Raw genomic sequence first — 20,190 nt, 5'->3', positions numbered from 1 at the left:
GGCTCTGCCAGCAGCTCCAGTGCTGGACAGTGAAAGACAAAAAGAGAAATGAATTTGTAGGGTGATCATGAAAAAAAAGTCCACGTCAGCAGTAGCTTTTCCAAGAAAGAGGACGGGACAGAGTGGGGAAGATGTGGGTGCCCAGACAGTGACTGAACGCCAGACGCCAGCAATGAGGGACACCGTGCAGCCTGGGGAGCGCCGGGGTCAGCGTCCTTCCCGTGACAGACTGATCGCCATGACCTGAAGGAAAAGCATCCTTCACTCCGACAGGCTGGCCAAAGTTCCAGCCCACGGCCGGCAGAATTGTGAAATGTTAATTGACGTTGCATGGAATTTACCGCCACTTCCCAAATGTACGCATGTTGGACATGGCCACAGCTTTAGCATTTTAAAGGTAATTTTTAACACAGAAAACTGCTCGGTCTTTTTAAAAAGCTGTGGTTGCTCCCACATGGGAGCAGTAAACAGCCACGTTGTCCCGATGCTGCGTGGCAGAGCTTGCTGCCTTCTGGGATCTTCTGTTTGCTGAACGACTTTGGTCTCAGAAAGCACCCTGGAGACACTGTCTCCGCGTCAGACCCACAGAAGCGAGGGCGCTCCTGCCATCTGAGAGGGCCCAAGGACAGGGGCCTGTGGTTTGTCCACTCGGGGCCCCAGTAGGGCTGCTCAAGGGTCATTTGCTAGTCACCCTACTTGTCTACCTGGATATCTAATTACTTATCACATACATTTGATTGTACCTAGCACCTGTATGTACCAAGTTCCAAGACCCCCTAGTGCATCCCCCCTCCCCTCAATTAAAAGCTCAAGTTTTATAACCGAGGAACAAGGTTCCTTCCTCGGGGGCAGGGAGGGCTGTCGGGGGAGTCAGGCTTCCAGTCCATGGACCAAGCCAATTCATTCAGGTGGTTTTACAACTTTCTCCACCAAAATTATCCCAAACTGCAACTGTGGCAGAAGGCAGGAGTGTGGTCAAGTACAGGCAGGGGGGCCGGTGCGGAGTAGAGCAGCGTGGGGTCTGGTGGGCCCTGTCTGCCCCCGGCACATCCCATCACACACGGTCATGCCACCGTCAACGCAGGGATCCCGTCACCGTCTCTGCTTGGCGGCTGCCATTGCATGGACTGCTTTAATTCCTGGATGCATAATCCACGGGCTTTCCTTCGAAGACCCCGATGCCCTGCGGCTCCCACTGCGCTCCCACCACAGAACAGCTACGAAGTGAACACCAGGAGTCCCACCCCTCTCTCCTGGGCAAGCTGGATTTCTACGTCGGGTTTCTCGGCCTGGACACGAGTGATACATGGAGCTGGATGCTTCTGCTGCGAGGCTGTCCTGGGCTGTGGGGTGTTTAGCCGTACCCAGCCTCCACCCGCTCGATGTCAGCCGTACCCCGCCATATACATACACAACTGTGGTCTCTGGCATTGCCGAGGTCCCCTGGGGAGACGGGGCAGCATCATCTCTGAAAGAGAACCGCAGATCTAAAGAGACCACATGGCCGTGGGACCGGACCACACAGTGTAGTGCCAAGAGGCAGGTGTGGGGCCAGGGGGCGTGGGGCAGCCTCCAAGGACCTTAGTGCCAAGAGCCAGGTGTGGGGCCGGGGGTGTGGGGCAGCCTCCAGGGACCTCAGCTGTGACGAGAGAAAGCTGTACCACCACACCCTCTTAGCTCTGTGGAGAGCCTATCTTTGCAGATGACAGAAAAATCCCCAGTCAGAATCTGAGCTGTTTCTAGAATCCTAGGGGAGTCCAGGGTCCTGGGAGGAGGGCCACCTGCCAGCTCCATTCCATCAGGTCAACAGCCTTGGTCCACCTTTGCCTCAGTGGCCTGAAAGCAAGGAAGGCGCCATCTCAGAGAAATGAACGTTGCAGGAGGCCAATTTACACTTGTGAGATTACTTTAAGAGAAGAGCACTTTACAGCTGCCATTCACGAGTCTTTATGCAGCCTCCTGGGGGTCACCTGGTCACACCAGCCCCCTGACTGAAACCTCAGCCCTTGTCTCAGCAGGGACAGATCATAAAGGCGCCATCAGCTTTGTTGCTATTATTATTTTTTAATTGTATAACTGACTATAGAAAGATAATGCTTGGTTTGGCAATGTCATAAGTAACAAATGAATCCTATTAAGGTTGTGAGATTAGCAGAGTTAAGTGACATTAGTGAATTTAGCGACATTTTTATCACTCAACCAAGTACTGCCAACCAAACTTTTACTAACAAAAGAAACTGTCACTTTTCTAAGTCACGGGAACTTCAACCATAGTTTACAGAGTCACGTCAAACACTTCAGCATTTCCATTGCTCCGTTCCAACTCCCATCTAGAGATAACAAGTATAGACATTGCAGAGGGCCTGTGACAGCTAATATGGAGTGTCAACTTGATGAGATTGAAGGATGCAAAGTACTGCTCCTGGGTGTGTCTGTGAGGGCGTTGCCAAAGAAGGTTAACATTTGAGTCAGTGGACTGGAAGAGGCAGACCCAGCGTCAATGTGGCTGGGCACCATCTAATCAGCTGCCAGCGTGGCTAGAATAAAGCAGGCAGAGGAACGTGGAAGGACTGGACTGGCTGAGTCTTCTGGTCTCCATCTTTCTCCCGAGCGGATGCTTCCTGCCCTGGAACATCAGACTCCAAGTCCTTCCGCTTTTAGACTCCTGGCCTTACACCAGTGGTTTGCCAGGGGTGCTCAGGCCTTTGGCCACAGACTGAAGGCTGCACTGTCGGCTTCCCTACTTTTGAGATCTGGGGACTTGGACTGGCTTCCAGGCTCCTTAGCGTGCACACAGCCTATTGAGGGACTTCACCTTGTGATCCTGAGGGTCAATTCTCCTAATAAACTCCCCTTCATAGATTCATCTCTCCTATTAGTTCTGTCCCTTTGGAGAACCCTAATACCGATTTCTAATAAGGCCAGAGCTATTTATTAAGAGGAAAAGGAGACCCTTTCTAGGAGTTCTGATTATAAATATTCCCTTGTGTTTCCAAAAGTTTACTTGGCTGTTAGGGGCTTTTGTTTTCTTATGCTAACTTAAAAAAATTCCCCAATATAGTGGAAAATACGATATTTGTTCATTAAAAAGTTTGTTGCTCTCATTATCATGGAAAACCCTAGGATTTCAAAGCCTCATAACTGAGACTGCATCTGTGAAGAGTTGTACCCATTGCAGATTAAAGCGATGAAATAACCTCACTCCTCAGATCAGAAAGTGTGCAGGATCTAAACGAACATGCCAGAGATAATGTGAGAAACCCTCTCTCAGAGGCTGCGGGAGGGACTGAGAACACATTGCAACCCCAGGAAAGTTGAAAAAGCAGGTGCCCTTTGACTCAGCAAGTCCAGGAATCCACTTTAGAAACCTGGCCACATGTGAAGGTCAGCACTGCACACTGTTTATAACAACAGAAAATCGGAAGCAGCCTCTATCAGTCAGGATGGGGTGGGTTTTGCTGAATTAACAACCTGCCCCCAAATCTCAGTAGCTTAACCCAGTATGAGTTGATTTTTAGAGCAGGTGGAATGTGGTCTCTGGACCAGCTGCCCTCTGGGTATGGGCTCAGCATTCCCGGCTGCTTTGATTTTTGGATTTTCACATGAGAAAGAGGGCCCAGAGCAGGCTCAAGGTCAGTTAAATGGTTCGGCATGTGGTGGCAGGCACCACTTCCACTCACCTTTCATTGCTCAAACCAGGCCACACAGCCATATCCAGCTTCAAGCAGCAAACAGAGCAATCCTGCCAGGTGCCCTGAGGGAGGGAGGAGGTGGGAATATGGCCAGAAAGTAGCAAGGGTCACACACAACCCCAAGTCCTCAGGAGAGAGAGGGATCCTGGCACACTCACTGGCTGGAGAGTTGCTGAAATGAGCTAGAGTAACATGGACCCACGGGGAGAGGCTCACAGACGCATTAAGTGAGAAGAAAAAGCCATAAAATTCTAGCATAATTTCTGTCTATGCACAAAAGAGCAAAGCCACAAACACATGGCGAAGAGATGCTGCCTTCCACCGGGATGCTTCTGGAGAAGGCAGGAGATCACGGGAACATGACCTTTTCTACACCGGTCTTATTCCTTTTACAAACCTGCAGCTCACGTGGTAAAGTAGTGACATCGGCTAATTCTAGATGGTGGACACCCCAGTGCTGGCTACAGCATGTGTCCTTTTCAGAGCTCTATTCAATATTTTTAAGATAGAAAATTAGCCAGTGTGCTTGCTATTAATAAAAACAGAAACACACCCTACATGGAAAACACACAAATAAAACATCAGCAGAGGGTGCCGACCACCAGGCTAAAACCGTCGTGGTGAATCCCAGGAGGAGCTTCGTCCTTGCTTGGAGATGTGGCCTCTCCTCCTCTCATTTCCTCCTGGCGTTCTCCGCACGTTAATGCACGTGCACAGTGGATTGATGCCAGTGGGAGGGCAGCACATGAGCCGGGATTCAACATTTTTATTAATAACCTGGGCAGATAGTTCTGGAATCAATGACGACTGGGGTGGTTAATTATTTTCTGGAGAGGGGCAGAAGAGACATGAACAGCTCCCTTCTGGAAGTCTCCGAGCACACGGGTAAAATGGCAGCTAATAAGCTATTTTAGTTAGCAATGGGGAATCGTCAAATTTTTCCTCTCACCCACTCTTCCATCTCTGACAATTTATGATGGAACATTTCAGAAAGAAATTCAAGGATGGCACGGGCTTGAACAGCTTATGGGGTCGCAGGGGGAGTTTGTAACCAAATGGCCCTTTTGTTTGCTTCCTGCCTTATTGGAGGGTCTCAGGGTCGCCTAATCACTGGGAAGCACCAAATTCCCCCACAGGGTCTGTCAGGCTGCAGAAAGAGGAAAAATTCCTGACATTGCCTCTGGCCTTGAAGCTGCATGGAAGAAACTGGCATCCAGTCTTACTGCTTGGATTCTAGAAAACTTCATCCTAAAGTCAGATCTTAGAAACAGAAAAATCTGTTGAAAGTGACATTATTTTGAATCGTCACCACTCCTTCATGTGGCTTTATAAGATCTTCCCTGGGACAGGAGATCACCAGCCACCAGGTTCTTCCTGCCGGCATTTCGTATGGCACGTGGAACCCACCAGGTAGGATTTTATGAGTTGCTCCTAAACCCCAAGACCAGCCCCTGAAGTTATGTGACAGAAGGCACCACCTTGTCTCAGTGATGACAGGTGAGCTAATTTTCCAGGAATCAGATATCAACATCTGGGCACTTCCCTCCTATCATGTGAGGTCATCCCTTTCAAACATGGCTTCCGGTGCCGTCATGAACAGTTTTCAAGACTGTTCCAACTTCTAGAGCACAAGAACCATGTCAAAGGATACATTTTTGGCTGGATTTCATAGGTAATTTTTTTTTCTTTCAATAAAGGAAATTCTTCCATTGTGATATGAGGTCTTCCTAACGGCAGTTTCTAAAATTGGATCAAGACGACGCTGCCGTGCATTCGTCCGCCCATCAGGTTTGTCGAGTGTCCATGTGGTGCCAGGCCCTGCTCCAGGAGGACCTGGGAGAGCTACGGTGCATGCACCCTATTCAGCCCTCTTCATATTGCTCCCCCTCCACCCTCAGGTCTACACCTGACCACCAACCAATCGGATCGAATTGCCTCCCAGGTGAGGCTGCTCTGAACGCTGCGGGCATCGGGGAGGAGAACGGTGGGAAGCTGGGAGGGAATTGGACAGGGAATGTGGTGAGCACACAGAGTCCACACAGTTCTCCAAACACTCTCTTTCAAATCCTGTGTGCACAGAGATCCACTCGGCAAGACCCTCTGGAGAGGCATAGTCATGTGCTCAGCTCCGGCCAAGGGAATATGCGCAGAAGCCATGGAGGTCAAGAGCTGGCGTGTCCCTGCTCTGCTCCCTCTCGTCCTGTGACAGCAGGGCTTGGGGGGGACACCACCAGGAGCCCCAAGCCAATGCTTGGCGGACCACTGCCCAGGGCAGACTGTGCTCTGTGGCTGCCTTGCTGAACAGCTTGAGCTCAACTTCAACTCGGATTCCTAGGCTGAGTCCTAATCCCGTCAGAACATGGCTGTATTTGGAGCTGGGCCTTTAAAACGGGGTTAAGGCAAAATCAGGCCATTAGGGTGGGGCCTAATCCAACCTGGCTGGCGTCCTTATAAGAGGAGGAGGTGAGGACACAGACACACACACAGGGACGACTCCGTGAGGACACAGGGAGAAGATGGCATCTACAAGCCAAGGAGAGAGGTCTCAGAAGAAGCCAGCTCTTCCCACACCTTAGTCTTGGGTTTCGAGCTCCTGAATTGTAAGAAAATAAATCTCTGTTGTTTAAGCCCCCAAGGAGTGGTGCTTGGTTGGTCCCAACTGACTAATACACCTACACTGTGGACACGGCCCATGCAAGAAGTAAGCTGGGGCTGGGTGAGACCCAGAGGCTTCAAAGCAAGGTGAGGAGAAGATGCTGAGAACAGGAGGCCAGAGGCAGCTGTGCACTCCTGGGGACTCCTCCAGGGCCGTGGGTGCACCGGCCACGGTGGGCAGCAGCAGAGCGTGTGGAGTATCTCAAGTTCCCTTCCCCCTCCACCTGACCCGCTGCGGATCTGCTGTGGATCCCAAACCCTGGGATCCTCCTTTAGTCCTCCTCCCCTGCCTCCAGCGGCAGAGACCGAAGCAGGTTTCTTGATGGCCACAACCCAGGCCCAAGCCACCTCCTGTACCTGGCATCAGGCAGGAAGCCACGGTGCCCTGGGGCAACCTCCCCACCCCCTGCACAAACATCAGAGCCTCCTAAGAGCCTGACCCCATTAGCATTTCCGCCCAGCCCCATGCCTGGCCTGCAGCAGGGAGCCAGCAAGTATGTGCTGATTAGACGAGAAGTGGCATATCTGGATGGGGGTGGCCCCCAAATCACGATGTGACCCAGGCCTGGGGACAGTCGCACCCAGTGGGAATAGTGGGAGCAAGTGTCCCATCCACCCTCCTGGGGACAGGGAGGACTGGGAGCTGTGCCCAGCCACATGGCCTCCCATGAACGCACGAGGGGCAGGAGGTACCAGATCCTGGGAAGGAGTCCTCACTGCATCCACCCAGGAGGCACCAGCAGGGACAGGCGGATGTTAAAGTGTTGGCTCCAGGAAGGCCAGGCGAAAGTACACAGAGTAGGAGGAGAGAGGAGGGAAGGATGAGGTCAGGAGTGGGGGCCTGGGTTTCCGGCTCTGGGTTGGGGCATGGATATTAGTTCTGTCCTTTGTGTATCAGAGCAGAACAAATCTGTCTGTGAGTAAACCTCTTGACTTGATGCGATTCCTCTCCTACCAATCTCTGGTGCACCAGCCCCTGGGGAGGGGAGATGGCAGGTGTCCTTCTCCCAGAGTGACGGGCACAGCTGGAGGGATAAAGGACACTGCTGGATCAGCCCTAGAAAACGCTGCTCAAACCAGAAGAGGTTCAAAGGAAAGCCCATGGAAAACGGGTGCCCACCACATATCTCAGACAAATGGGTGTGTGGGCTTTCCTGGAAAATACAGCTTTGGGTGGACTTGAACTTGGCCTCTCGGACAGCTCCTGTGTGAATGCACCTCCTCACAGGCCGGGGGCCTGGCTTTGTACATAATTAAGCAGCCTAGGGGTTTGGAGGGGCTCACTATTGCTCAAACAAGTGGGAGAACTTGGTCTTCATAGCAATGTGGCCGGGTTGGCCTGACCCCACCATGACCCGGTGGTAGTTCCCAGGGATGCAGACACTGCGGAGAGGAACTGGAGACAGCAGGCCACGCAGCCGACTCGCTCGGCCCCTTTCATGGCGCTGTGATGTTTCTGTCACTCAAGGGGACCATTCTCTCCTAGTCTAACTCCAGAGCCCCTTGGCTTCCAACTCAATGAGGCTTTTCAAGCTCTCCTTTGAAAGACCCGGCTTGTTAACTCCCAACAAGGCATCTGCCTTTTGAGTCTGCACAGAAAGGGAGGAGAATGGCTTAAAAAACACCCCTCACAACGCCTCGTGAGTGGGGAGGGCAGTGCGTGCCTGTCCGCGAAGCCCGCTTCTGCTTCTAAATCACTCCTGGCTCCTTGAGTTCTAGACCGGGGTAGGGCGATTTCCTTCCAGGTTTGTGTCTTCTTTTTATGTTTACCGTGGAGAAAGTGGTAGGCAGAGAGCTCTTGATGAGGGCACCTGGCTGTGAGGTTGCGGTCCCCAGCTCCCTGCCCTCCCGAGCTGGCCTGGGCCTCCCTGATGACCTGGGACACATCACCGGCCACGTGCTCAGTCAGTCAGCCTCTCCCTCTCTTCTCAGGGCAGGGATACCTGGTTAGTGCTGTGTGATGCTTCTCTACACAATGGCTACTGAGGAGAGAAAAATTGCAAGCAATGAAGGATAAGTAAAATGTCGGATTTCAAATATTAGACCTCTAAGGGGCCCTAAGAAAAATTATTTTAACAATTCCACTGACACATTGTACCATGTGACAAAGGCAGCAGCAGATAGCTCAGGGGGAAAGAAAGTGAACAGTCAAAAGCAATGATGTAGACCTCAGCCTTTAAACAGGTGAAATGGCATGACGCCTGGCATCCCCAGTGAACGCCTGTCTACCAGCCCTGCAGGGAGGGGACACTGAGTCTCCAAGTGGTTTCTGGGGGTGCTCAGAGCATCATTTGTCCACTTGGTCATTCGTTCATTCACACCCATCCGTCTTGAGCCAGACACTCCCAGGCACTGGAGCATAGGGTGTACCTGCAGCTAGGGCCTTCCTGGGACCCACCGGCCTCTTCTCTGGAGGGGAGGGCCAGCCCCTGCGCTGAACACACTGGGCCTGGCCAGCTCTCTGCTGTGCCCTCCTTCCTTCCTCTCGTCACTGTGGGGTGTGTAGCGGCATCCCCAAACTATACCCACCAGATGCCAGGGCACTGCTCCCAGACGGGGCAACCGAAGCTGTCTCTAGACATGTATGTGTATATGTATGTATGTAGGCCTAGACGTATGTATGCACATAAAATAATGCTGCGGTCAGACACGCTAATTAAAGTTATTCTTTTATTTCGTGAGACAATGCATCATAGAGTCCTGTTTTTCCTCTACCGTATTAGTGTGGCCTCGCAATGGGGGTGCCTGGGGAGCATCGGAAGGGGTGAGGGGCCTGGCTTGAGTTTCGTGGGTTATCAATGCCCACGAGCCTTTTCTCCCTCCCCCTCCCTCCCTGCCCCACTCCCTCCCCTTCCTCTTTCCCTCCTTAGTAATCATGAACATTATCATTTGTCTCATGATGGAACTTTCCATGGGTTGTTCTGTTTGGGTGCGGCCTCTTCCTTTCCACCACCACCCAGTGGATCCATCTTCCCAGTTAAGCCATGTCTGTGCCCTCAGCCCTGTTGGCAGAGCCTCCCAAGTGCTTAGGGACTTCTGGGTTCGGGGGGCAGGAGGGGAGCCACGGCTTTGGATCTGAGATGTGTTTGTTGCACCCGTGGAACACACGAGGGAGGCAGTGAGGCTTCTCCGAGCAGAGCCCTTCCCTGCGGCTGGTTTGGGCCTGGCTGGCCTGGCCGGGTTCTGTGCCTGCAGGTAGCCTGGGCCACTCACTGGGCCATTCCCATGGTCTTCCAGGCTCTGGTGGGGCTCCGGGGGCACTCCTAATGCCATAAGAAGTGCAGAGTGGAAGCAGGCAGTGTGGGGTCTGCTGGGTTGAAATACTGAGGGAGGTAAGCACCCCAATCTTTCAGGATGTGGCTAGATTCCCAGCTAGGCACAACATTGCTTGCCACCTTGAAACCCAAAGGGCGTCTAACCTAGAGGAGCACAGTGCAAAGGGGCAGGAGCGGGAACAGGGGGTTCGAATGCCCAAAGGACCGGCACTGAAGGGCCCCCACACTCTCCCCATGGCGGCTCAGGGGCGAGTACAGGGGATTCAAACGCCCAAAGGACCGGCACTGAAGGGCCCCCATACCCTCCCCATGGAGGCTCAGGGGTATGCAGCCCGGGCCCCCTCTCAGAAGGGCCCCGCACCAGGTGAATGCTCTGCTGCTGCCCTCGGGAAGTCCCAATGCTTTTTGAAGAAGGCCCCCGCGTTTTCATCCTGCACCAGGCCCCACAAATTATGTCACTGCTTCTGACTTTCCCATATGTAATTTATTTCTAAAAACATTCTACTTAAAAGGCTTTCTGGGAAAACTACAAATTGATTTTTTCCCCAAGCTTGACATTACAACCATTATTTCCTCTCTGTCAGCAACTGCCTCGACAAATGGACCTGGGTTTTCCAAGAGCCAGGCCCTTCCTTGTTCCGTGGGCCTGGGGATGGGATCCGTGCCCACGAGGCTGAGCCTGAGGGCCGCCCCGGGGCTGTCCCCTTGGCCAGGGCACCTCTGCACCTGACTCAGCCTGCCCCACTGTAGGGCTGCTGGGAACCAGTCGAGACTACTGGATCTGCCACTGAAGTTACAGGTCATCAGGTCGCACTTCTGAGCCTCAGCTTCCTCGCCTGTGAAATAGGAATCAGTCATGGCAATGCCCAGCCCAGTCACAGGTTTCAGTAGATCAACTATGGTGAGGGCTCAACCAGCGCCACCCATCCATGCCCCTTGGAGGGAATGGTTGGTTTTAAGGACAGAACCTCCACATGAGTCTGCAAAGGTTTGTATTAACCAGGAGGAGGGAATTCATCTATTTGATTGTCCCTTTAAGTGAGCAGGGCTGGCTTCTGAATGGATCCAGGATGAGCAGGCATCTCTGCCACTGTCCCACCAGAGGCTGCTCCAAAGGAGCGTCCCAGCAAGGGAGGCCATCGGGTTGAGGATGAGCAGGCATCTCTGCCACTGTCCCACCAGAGGCTGCTCCAAAGGAGCGTCCCAGCAAGGGAGGCCGTCGGGTTGAGGATGAACAGGCATCTCTGCCACTGTCCCACCAGAGGCTGCTCCAAAGGAGCGTCCCAGCAAGGGAGGCCGTCGGGTTGACCACACAGCTGGCACAAGTTTAGGAAAACACCTCAAAAAAAAAAAAAAAAAAAAAAGAAAGAAAGAAAGAAAAGAAAGAAAGAAAAGAAAAAACCACCACTTAGAATCTGATCCCTGCAGAAGGAGAGGACAGCAACACCGCAAGGCCTCAGCCTCCGGCCCGGTCCCGTGCCCTCCCACATCAGGTGCCTGCAGACAGCTGGCTGGGAGCTCTTCCAGGCTCTCAGCCTCCGATCACGGCGGTGAGCCTGTGATTTGCTATTTTACCACCTTTAAAAAAGTGTATTAAATATGGAATGCATATTACGAGTTGCATAGTCATGGAAACCAGCAAATTGCACAGTGTTTTTTCTTTGCCTCCTCTAGCAAACCATCCTCCTGCCCCGTGTGGTCGTTCCTGCCCCGATACCCTCCCCAATGCAAAGCGAAGCCACAGTGTCCCATCTGCATGAGACATGACAAGAAAAAATGGAACACTCTCAATCATATTTTAAGCCACAAAGTAATATTTCCATAGCAGAGTGCAAATAGAATTTTACATAATGCACAGAATAAATGCCTCCAAAAATCAATATTTCCAGCTGGATGTACAAATTAAATGATGATATTCAAGTGTGAGATTAAAACAATGATTTAAGATAGAAATTGAGTTATGCTATCTCATGCCTGCCTATTGCCGAATATGTTAATGGAACAAATCTGTTAACATTCAGTCCATTTATCTCTCTAAACAGGAGGTGGGGATTCCTGTCTGAAAGCAAAAGCAATGGCAAGAAGCACCTCCCAACTACAGTTCGGATGGGGAGGCTGCAGAGTCAGATGCTTCTGTGGGAGTTGGGGTTACTTTTCTAGAAGCATCTTTGGTCCCATATTGAGGTTTTAAACACATTTGCCTGGCTCCCTCCTTCCCACCAGGGTTGTGGGTAATTAGGCTCCATATATGCGAGGTCTGCAGAGCCCATGCTCCCCATGGCCACGCCCTCACCCCATCTATTCCCCTTGAAGAGTGGGGGCCCATCTAGTCTCATGGGGCACCTGTGCAACCATGAAGCAGGAGGCGGCAGTGCTAATGGCCCCTGTACCCGAAGTAGCTCTAATTGCAGAGTGAGGCAGCCAGAGGGGCCCCTCATGGGCAGAGGAAGGCAGGGACAGTGCTCCTACCTCCAGCAGCCCCGGCCAGGGCCCCGCCAGGGAGGCTGAGCCCCGGTCCTCAGGCATGCCCTGCCCTCTCAGGCCACGCGGGTCTTTCCTGTCTAGGGAGGACAAGGGATGGAGAGACGAGCACAGCTCTAGCTGCCTCTGCAGCAGGACTTGGGCGACGCAGCTTTACATCAGCGGGTTGCAGCCACACCCACTTGACCAGGGGCCCCTGCAGGCTCGGAGTTGGCGGGCAGTCCTGGGTGTCCGATCCTTCCCCGTGCTGCTCGCCCAGCCGCCTGCCGTGCCCAGGCCTGCCCCCCATCGCCCTGCCACTCCTTGTCTGGGCCGTGGCACTGGCTGTTGTGGATCCCTCCATCTCCTTGAGGTTGGCTCCCACCTTGAGTTCAGTGGCCTGAGTCACCCCCAACCCAAGTCCCCTTCTTCTCTGTGCCTGCTCCAAGCTTCCTTCTCCTCGGCTTTCACTCTCAGGGTCCCTCTCAGGGTCCTCACCTTGAAGCTGTCTCCCCCTGCCCCACACCAGCTGGCATTCCCTGCAGAAGAGGCCATTTGGAAAGCAGGCCAAGGAACCAGTGAGCCTGGGAGTGAAACTGAGCCTGAGATAAGAACCACAGCCCAGCCCCGGCCCGTACCTTGATTGCATCGCAGGGAGACCTGAGCAGAGAGCCCAGCTACGCCACACTGACCTGCCAAACTCTGAGAAGACAGAGGAGTGTTGCTTCAGCTGCTACGCTTGTGGGAACTGGTTACGGGACACAGAAAACTCATCACATGCCTTTCATACCTACTGATCCCGCCAAAACACCTTCCCCAATCTCCCCTAGAACCCGGCCAGAGAACCCGTCTCCCCAGAGCCTGCTCCACCTCACATCAAACCTTAAAACATTGGCTGATCAGATTAGAAACGTGGTGCTTTGGTTTGCTTTTAACTGATTTCTGGGGCAGGAGAGCATTTTCACAGACTCGCTGCTTGCATTGCTTGTGTGTTTTGCACTGATATCCCTTGTCCACTTACTCATCGTTTTCTGTTGTGTGCACTTGTTGTTACTGAACGGTGGTGAGATGCGGGTCTTTTTAAAGATGAGTCACAGGTGACATAAGGAGTGGGGTCAGATTTCAGGGTCTCTGAGTTCTGAAACCGAAGAGGTTCATTTTCATACGGGGCTCCATTTTTACATTTGCCGCCTCGTGTTGAACTGGTGCCAGGGTCCCACACATGGGACCTCCTTCATGTGTGAAGACCATAGAAGAACAAAGAAACCAGGACATGACTTAGTTTAGGTGCAGTCCCGCCTGGAGGCAGGGGACAGAGAGAAAAACCCAGCAAACTCACGGTGCTCAGGGCTTGGGTGCCTCCTGGGTGGCCCCTTTTGTGGGGTCCATGCCCTGCAGGCGATTGGGGATGGTGTCATCAGTGTGTCCTCACACAGTCAGGACACGGAGGGCAGCAGCTTCTTAGGGTCTTGCTCACACCTGTGTTTTATCCGCCTCTCCTCCTCAGTGGCAGAGCCTGAGGGCCGGCAACAGGCGCCACTTCTATGAGACTGGCCGACGCTTTCCACAGCTGAGGATCCTCCACCACAGGCTGAAGCCACCTCGTTTCCTCACTTGAGCAGCGCAGAAGATAAGAACAAACTTTAAAATCCTGGATAATCCTCACTTTACTAATAAGCATTTTATCTAAATCCTGCTTTTAAAATTGTGCTTCCCCAACCGGTGTTGGTCGAAGTGAGTTTCCACATCCAATTTCCAGTCTGCATTCTGAGAGCACTCGCTCCAGGCCTGTGCGTCAGGCTGATGACTCATCCCGGCCTCATCTCAAAGCCAATCCGTGGCCCCTGCCAGCTGGGGCTCCACCGTGCTGCATCCATGTCCACGCATGCACTTGGCGCTGCCCTCCAGCCCACCCCCAGGGATGGTCCGTGAATGCCATCCAGAAAATATTTATTTAAATTAACTTAGCAAAGCTTTTTACAACACACATCCTCATGTGCCACACATTTCGGCTCTTTCATATTAATTCATTCCACCTTATAACAAATGGAAGTAAATCCTTTTGCTAAATCCCTTTTTTTTTTTTTTTTTTTTTTTGAGATGCAGTCTTGCTCTGTCGCCCAGGCTGGAGTGCAATGGCACGATCTTGGCTCACTGCAACCTCTGCCTCCCAGGTTCAAGTGATTTTCCCTGCCTCAGCCTCCTGAGTACCTGGGATTACAGGCACCCACCACCATGCCCGGCTAATTTTTGTATTTTTAGTAGAGACGGGGTTTCACCACATTGGCCAGGCTGGTCTTGAACTCCTGACCTCAGGTGATCCACCTGTCTCGGCCTCCCAAGGTACTGAAATTACAGGCATGAGCCACTATGCCTGGCCTGCTATACCCATTTTACAGATAAGAAAAGTGAGGCAAGAGGAGGCCACCCAGCTGGAGAGCTCAAATATAGCAGGTCAGGTCCAAGGTCTCCCTCTGGTGCCTGTGTACCGAATTTCCCTCAGCAGCCCTCAGCAGCTCTGTGTACCGAATTTCCAAAACCTGAAGGCTGTTGAGCCTTGCTTTTCCCTTGGCCCACCCATCTGGGGGCCTAGAGATGAACTATTGGCATAGATATTAGTTGTCCTGACAGCCAGGGCCTCGGAGCAGCTGATTCTTTCCAACACGTATTCAGCACCTCCTCCCTGGACAGCGCTGTGGCTGCAGCTATGGATAAAACAGTGAAGAAGGCTGCAAGAGGCTGGAGATACTTGTCTCTAATGCTGGATCTGGCTGAGGGCAGGACTGCCCTCACTCGTTCTGTTGTGCGCTCACCTGCTCCCCAGCCCTCACTCCTGGATCCAGCATCCACGGTTTAGGGTAACAGATCCATCTACTTCATGGCATCAAACACTTCTGACACAGCCCCTTTCTAGCCAAAGCATTCTGATTGCCTCTCTATTTTCCGAGGGCCTCTGCGACTCTCCTTCGACTGCCTCCCTGGCTTGCTCTGGCTTTCATCCAGCCTGATAGAGCTTTCTGGGGGAGCCAGGGGAAGAGGCTACTTCCCAGTACATGCCGTGCAGGGTCCCCTTGCCACGGCATCCCTCCACCACAGTGATGGCAGAGTCACTCAGCGTGACTCTGCTCTGCCATGTACAGCTTCAGTCAAGACCAAAAGGCCCCAGACTGTGTCAGGGTAGGATTCTAAGGAAGGGCCACTGGGGCAACAGCCATAACAGCTAAGATCAAACATAATGCTGGCCGGGCGCAGTGGCTCACACCTATAATCCCAGTGCTTTGGGAGGCCGAAGGGGCGGATCACTTGAGGTCAGGAGTTCGAGACCAGCCTGGCCAACATGGTGAAATCCCATCTCTACTAAAATACAAAAATTAGCCGGGTGTGGGGTGGTTCCCTATAATCCCAGCTACTCAGGAGGCTGAGGCAGGAGAATCGCTTGAACCTGGGAGGCGGAGGTTGTAGTGAGTTGAGATCATGCCACTGCACTCCAGTCTGGGCAACAGAGCAAGACTCCCTCTCAAAACAAACAAACACACAAACAAACAAACAAACAAAAACAAATAAATTAGCCAAGCATGGTGGCAGGCACCTGTAATCCCAGCTATTTGGGAGGCTGAGCCAGGTGAATAGCTTGAATCTGCGAGGCAGAGGTTACAATGAGTCAAGATTGTGGCACTGCACTCTAGCCTGGGTGACATAGCGAGACTCCATCTCAAAAAAAAGAAAAGAAAAGAAAAATTACACTGATGAGTGTGTTCCACCCATCAGACAGCTCTTCCAATAAAAGAACCTTGAGCAAGAACGAGAAGTTCTGAAGACACCACCCAAGATACCTCTAGGAAGGGAAGAAAACAGAGGCATGTGACGTTCCCTCAAGGCCCTCGCTCACCATGAACACAGGACAGGGCCTCTCCCCATGTTTCAACAGAAACGTATGAAACAGCAGACATAATTCCCAAACCACACGAGGCATTGAACAGACCTGCAGATGACAGAGATTCTCTTTCCTCACTGCACAGATTCCTATAGTCAGATTCCATGGCATGTTGCAACACATTTGTATGAAATTATAAAAACCAACATTCACCCCAGGATTGTGCAACAAATAGAATTTATTAAAGTACTTGTGAAGCGCCTCCAGTGAGAAATTCATCTTTGGTCCAGATTTTAATAAGGATTATATAATCATAATGAGACTGTAATAAAACAGCATCACCTGAATAATCCATTTTATTACCAGTTTTATTATGAGTTCCCCATTTATTACAATTCACTGGATATTTAAAGCCTATGTAAATGATGCAATATAAAATATATGAGGAACAAGAATTATGGTGCTTACCTATGTAAATTTATCTTCCTGATATCTAAGATCTCCAGACTTCTGAAGTTTACACAATCAAAAAGGATCTTGAAAGGTTACAAAGGTGGCTTTGGGTCTCAGGAATGAAATATCAATGTCTCACCATGAAAATGGTCATTCCTTCCTATGGATTTGAAACCCAAAATCTCTGTGATTAGATCTTTATTAGGAACGAAATACTCCAGGCTGACTGAAAACCGAACATTTCACCAGAAAACCCTTCCTGCTTTGGCCTCTGTTGGGAACCTTTCTAAAATGTCTAATTCCCCACATCAGTGAATGTCATCTATGGACCGTAAGAAATCTGTAATAATAAGGGACAAGGGCGGTGCACTGGTTACAAAAAAAAAAAAAAATCAAGATCATCACGAGTTCCCCTTCCAAGGACGGCCAGACACGGGAGAGCAGCCAGGCCCCGCACTGCCCAGGATGCAACCCCGCCATGCTTCCAGCTTCATCTTAGGGCAATTTCCAGCCTATCTAAATCATCGTTGTTCATCTCCATTCCCGCAGCTTTGGTCTCCTCTTCTCCCCCTCTCTGGGGACTTTGCATTTCCTTCCATCTAACTTCTTTCTCTTCTCTTCTTTCCTTTTCTTTTTTGTGGAGATGGGGTCTTTCTACGTTGCCAGGCTGGTCTCAGATACCTGGGCTTAAGTGATCCTCCCGTCTTGACTTCCCAAAGTGCTGGGATTACAGGTGTGAGCCACTGTGCCCAGCCTGTATTTTCTCCCCCTCCCCCTCCCTCTCCCCCTCCACCCCCCTCCCCTCCCTTCCCCTCCTCTCCCCCTCCACCCCCCTCCCCTCCCTTCCCCTCCTCTCATCTTTCTTTGAAAGGGAGTCTCGCTCTTTCACCCGGGCTGGAGTGCAATGGCATGATCTCGGCTCACTGCAATCTCCGCCTCCTGGGTTCAAGTGATTCTCCTGCCTCAGCCTACTGAGTAGCTGGGATTACAGGCACACACCACCACTCCCAGCTAATTTTTTGTATTTTTAGTAGAAATGGGGTTTCGCCATGTTGGCCAAGCTGGTCTTGAACTCCTGGCCTCAAGTGATCTTCCCACCTCAGCCTCCCAAAGTGCTGGGATTACAGGCGTGAGCCACCACACCCAGCCTGTTTTTTCTTCTTTTTTAAAGTTACCTGTTTTCCAGCTAATCAGTAAATCCTTTAAGAAAAGGAGCTGGGCCTGCTTTAACTATCTCTATACCCTGGAATAATGCTGCGTAGATTGTCCAAAGTGTCAGGGGCACTAATGGGACATCACCACTCTCAAAACCAAAGCCAGAGCAAGATGCGGAAAGGGTGAGCGCCGGTGCCCCGGGTTCTGGGAACAGAGCTCTCCTGCCCAGTGCTGCTGCCCTGACAGACCGTCTTGTCATGTTGGCGTGGCACACATGCAGTAGGACACCACCCGAGATGCCTCTGGAAGGGGAGGAAACCAGAACCACGAGACGTCTCCACAAGGCCCTCACTCACTGGGGACACCAGGACAGGACCCTCTCCCCATCTTTTAAAAGAAACATATAAAACAGCACGCATGCTTTGCAAACCACATGGGGCATTGAACAGAACAGACTTTCAGATGATAGAGGTTCTCCTCCCTCACTGCATGGATCCCTGCTTAAAAAGCACAGATGCTATGCTTAAAAAAATATAGTGGCCGGACGCGGTGGCTCATGTCTGTAATCCCAGCACTCTGGGAGACTGAGGCAGGTAGATCAATTGAGGTCAGGAGTTTGAGGACAGCCTAGCCATCAGGGTGAAACCCTGTCTCTACTAAAAATACAAAAATCAGCTGGGCGTGGTGGCGCACACCTGTAATCCCAGCTACTCAGGAGGCTGAGGCAGGAAAATTGCTTGAACCCGGGAAGTGGAGATGGCAGTGAGCCAAGATTTGCCACTGCACTCCAGCCTGGGCAACAGAGTGAGACTCTGCCTCAAAAAAAAAAAAAGCTCTTATGTTTAAAAACTGGTGTTTACCTTTATTGGGAGATAGTAGGTTAGGGAGGGTGCCAGGGGCGCCTGGGCGCTGGTTACTGATTGTGATTCTCTTGTCAAAGTGCAGAGGGGTAGGCTGACAATCTGTTCACTTTCTCTGTATGTGCGCGTAGTTCATGAAAAGTTTTACAGCGTTAGCAAGTAATCCCAAAGCTAGAGAGACACCACGGAGGCCAATGGAGCCCCGTCGGGAAGGTCCCGGTGCGGGGCTCCCACACACTGTCACTGCTGCCTTGGCGGTAGAACGCTTGACATATCAAACTTGAATCAATTTTCAAAAAGCTTTCCGAAAGAACATAATTAGATTAGAACGTTACATTTGTTAATTTTTCAGTTGCTCATTAAAATTGACATGCCATTTGATTTTGACAGCAACCTTTTTAACTTGATGTAAGACTGTAGGATCTTTAAAAATAAAGCTCTATTTAGGAAGTTCGGAAACATGACAACTGCAATCATGAAACTGAAACCAGTCTCCCCATCACTCATATCCAACAATCATGAAATCAATCACTTGCCCCATAATATTTTTTTTAAAAAGCCAGGGATGGGGTGGGGGGAGGGGGGAGGGATAGCATTGGGAGATATACCTAATGCTAGATGACGAGTTAGTGGGTGCAGCACACCAGCATGGCACATGTATACATATGTAACTAACCTGCACATTGTGCACATGTACCCTAAAACTTAAGGTATAATAATAAATTAAAAAAAAAGAAAGAAAAAAAAACAAGCCAGGGATGTGGTCTTTTTTAGACTTATATAAACATGAGTCCATCGTCGGAGGAGACATCCTGCTCCTGTGAGGGGTCCGGCACTCACCTGGGCGGGCTGCCTCCACCGAGGATGTCAGGAAGGCTGGGTGGGGGACTCGTGTTTTAGAAAGGGCTTCGTTTCCTTCTGCATAAAGTTAAGTCCTTGGATCCTGACTCATACAGAGGCCAGGCGGGTCGTGTTTATCCCTACGAAGAGAAGAATCCTCCTGCTTCTGCCTGGGCAGACTTCTGAAATGCTGGACAGAACCACCCGGGGAGGGGGAGGGGCACCAGCAGGAGAGGGACAGAGGGACCCATAGAGACTCGGAAGGAACAGCCAGTGTCCACGTCCCCACCCATGTACTAGCCACGTTGTCATTACTGCATGAGTTTTGGGAGACCATGTGTTCTTGGGCAAGATAACTCGTTTCTTGGAACTTCTGTTTCCTCTTCTGTAAAATGGAGATAACTAAAGGGCTAACTTTGTGGCCAAGCTGATTGGCTGACCACCAACGCTGAGCTGTCCCCACAGGGTCAGTGGGGATGGCATTTCCTTCCCGGTGGCTCCGCTTTTCTCTGGGCTATGAGCAGGACTTACGGTGCCCGGCCCGGCCACAGCAGCTGGGAGACTTAAGACAGAGAGAGTCTTCCTCCCTGAAATGAGGATAGGCAAGGGGCAGCCGCAGGGGTCTGTGACATGAACCGGAAAGAAACCTGCAGAATCCCTGGGAGTTCTGAGTTTCTCAGTCACAGCAGCTAATCAATAAGAACATAACAGTAAGTAAGGAGAAAACGAGATCGGGTACAGCCGCAGCACAGAGCCGAGCACACGGCAGCTACCTGATCAATCCGTTTCCCCTCCTGCTCTCTCAGAGTTCAGCAAGTCCCGGCTTCTGCAGCTGGAGGGGGCTTAGCTGGAGAGGCTCCTGGATGGGAAGGCAACACTTCCTGGGTTCACGGCCATGGCTGAGCAGCCTACAGACCCTGCTCACC

The 20,190-nt window shown here is 51.5% G+C and overlaps 1 protein-coding gene across 4 annotated transcripts in view, besides 2 other annotated features; it reads right to left on the bottom strand.

Moving 5' to 3' along the window:
• The window catches only part of CDH4 (cadherin 4), a 688,357-nt gene that overhangs the window by 394,966 nt on the left and 273,201 nt on the right, over positions 1-20,190 (bottom strand). The window lies entirely within an intron of this gene.
• Positions 6,285-7,264: an enhancer, noted in NCBI's record as "H3K4me1 hESC enhancer chr20:60113444-60114423 (GRCh37/hg19 assembly coordinates)". NCBI's record gives its function as "activates a minimal SCP1, AML or CMV promoter by ChIP-STARR-seq in naive H9 embryonic stem cells {active_cell/tissue: H9 hESC(naive)}" and the evidence as "EXISTENCE:reporter gene assay evidence [ECO:0000049][PMID:30033119]".
• Positions 13,700-14,201: an enhancer, noted in NCBI's record as "H3K4me1 hESC enhancer chr20:60106507-60107008 (GRCh37/hg19 assembly coordinates)". NCBI's record gives its function as "activates a minimal SCP1, AML or CMV promoter by ChIP-STARR-seq in naive H9 embryonic stem cells {active_cell/tissue: H9 hESC(naive)}" and the evidence as "EXISTENCE:reporter gene assay evidence [ECO:0000049][PMID:30033119]".

This window comes from Homo sapiens, chromosome 20 (assembly GCF_000001405.40).
Source record: "Homo sapiens chromosome 20, GRCh38.p14 Primary Assembly".
NCBI classification, from domain to species: domain Eukaryota; kingdom Metazoa; phylum Chordata; class Mammalia; order Primates; family Hominidae; genus Homo; species Homo sapiens.
The sequence above is the reverse complement of the archived record's forward strand: the minus strand, read 5'-3'. Positions and strand labels throughout refer to the sequence as shown.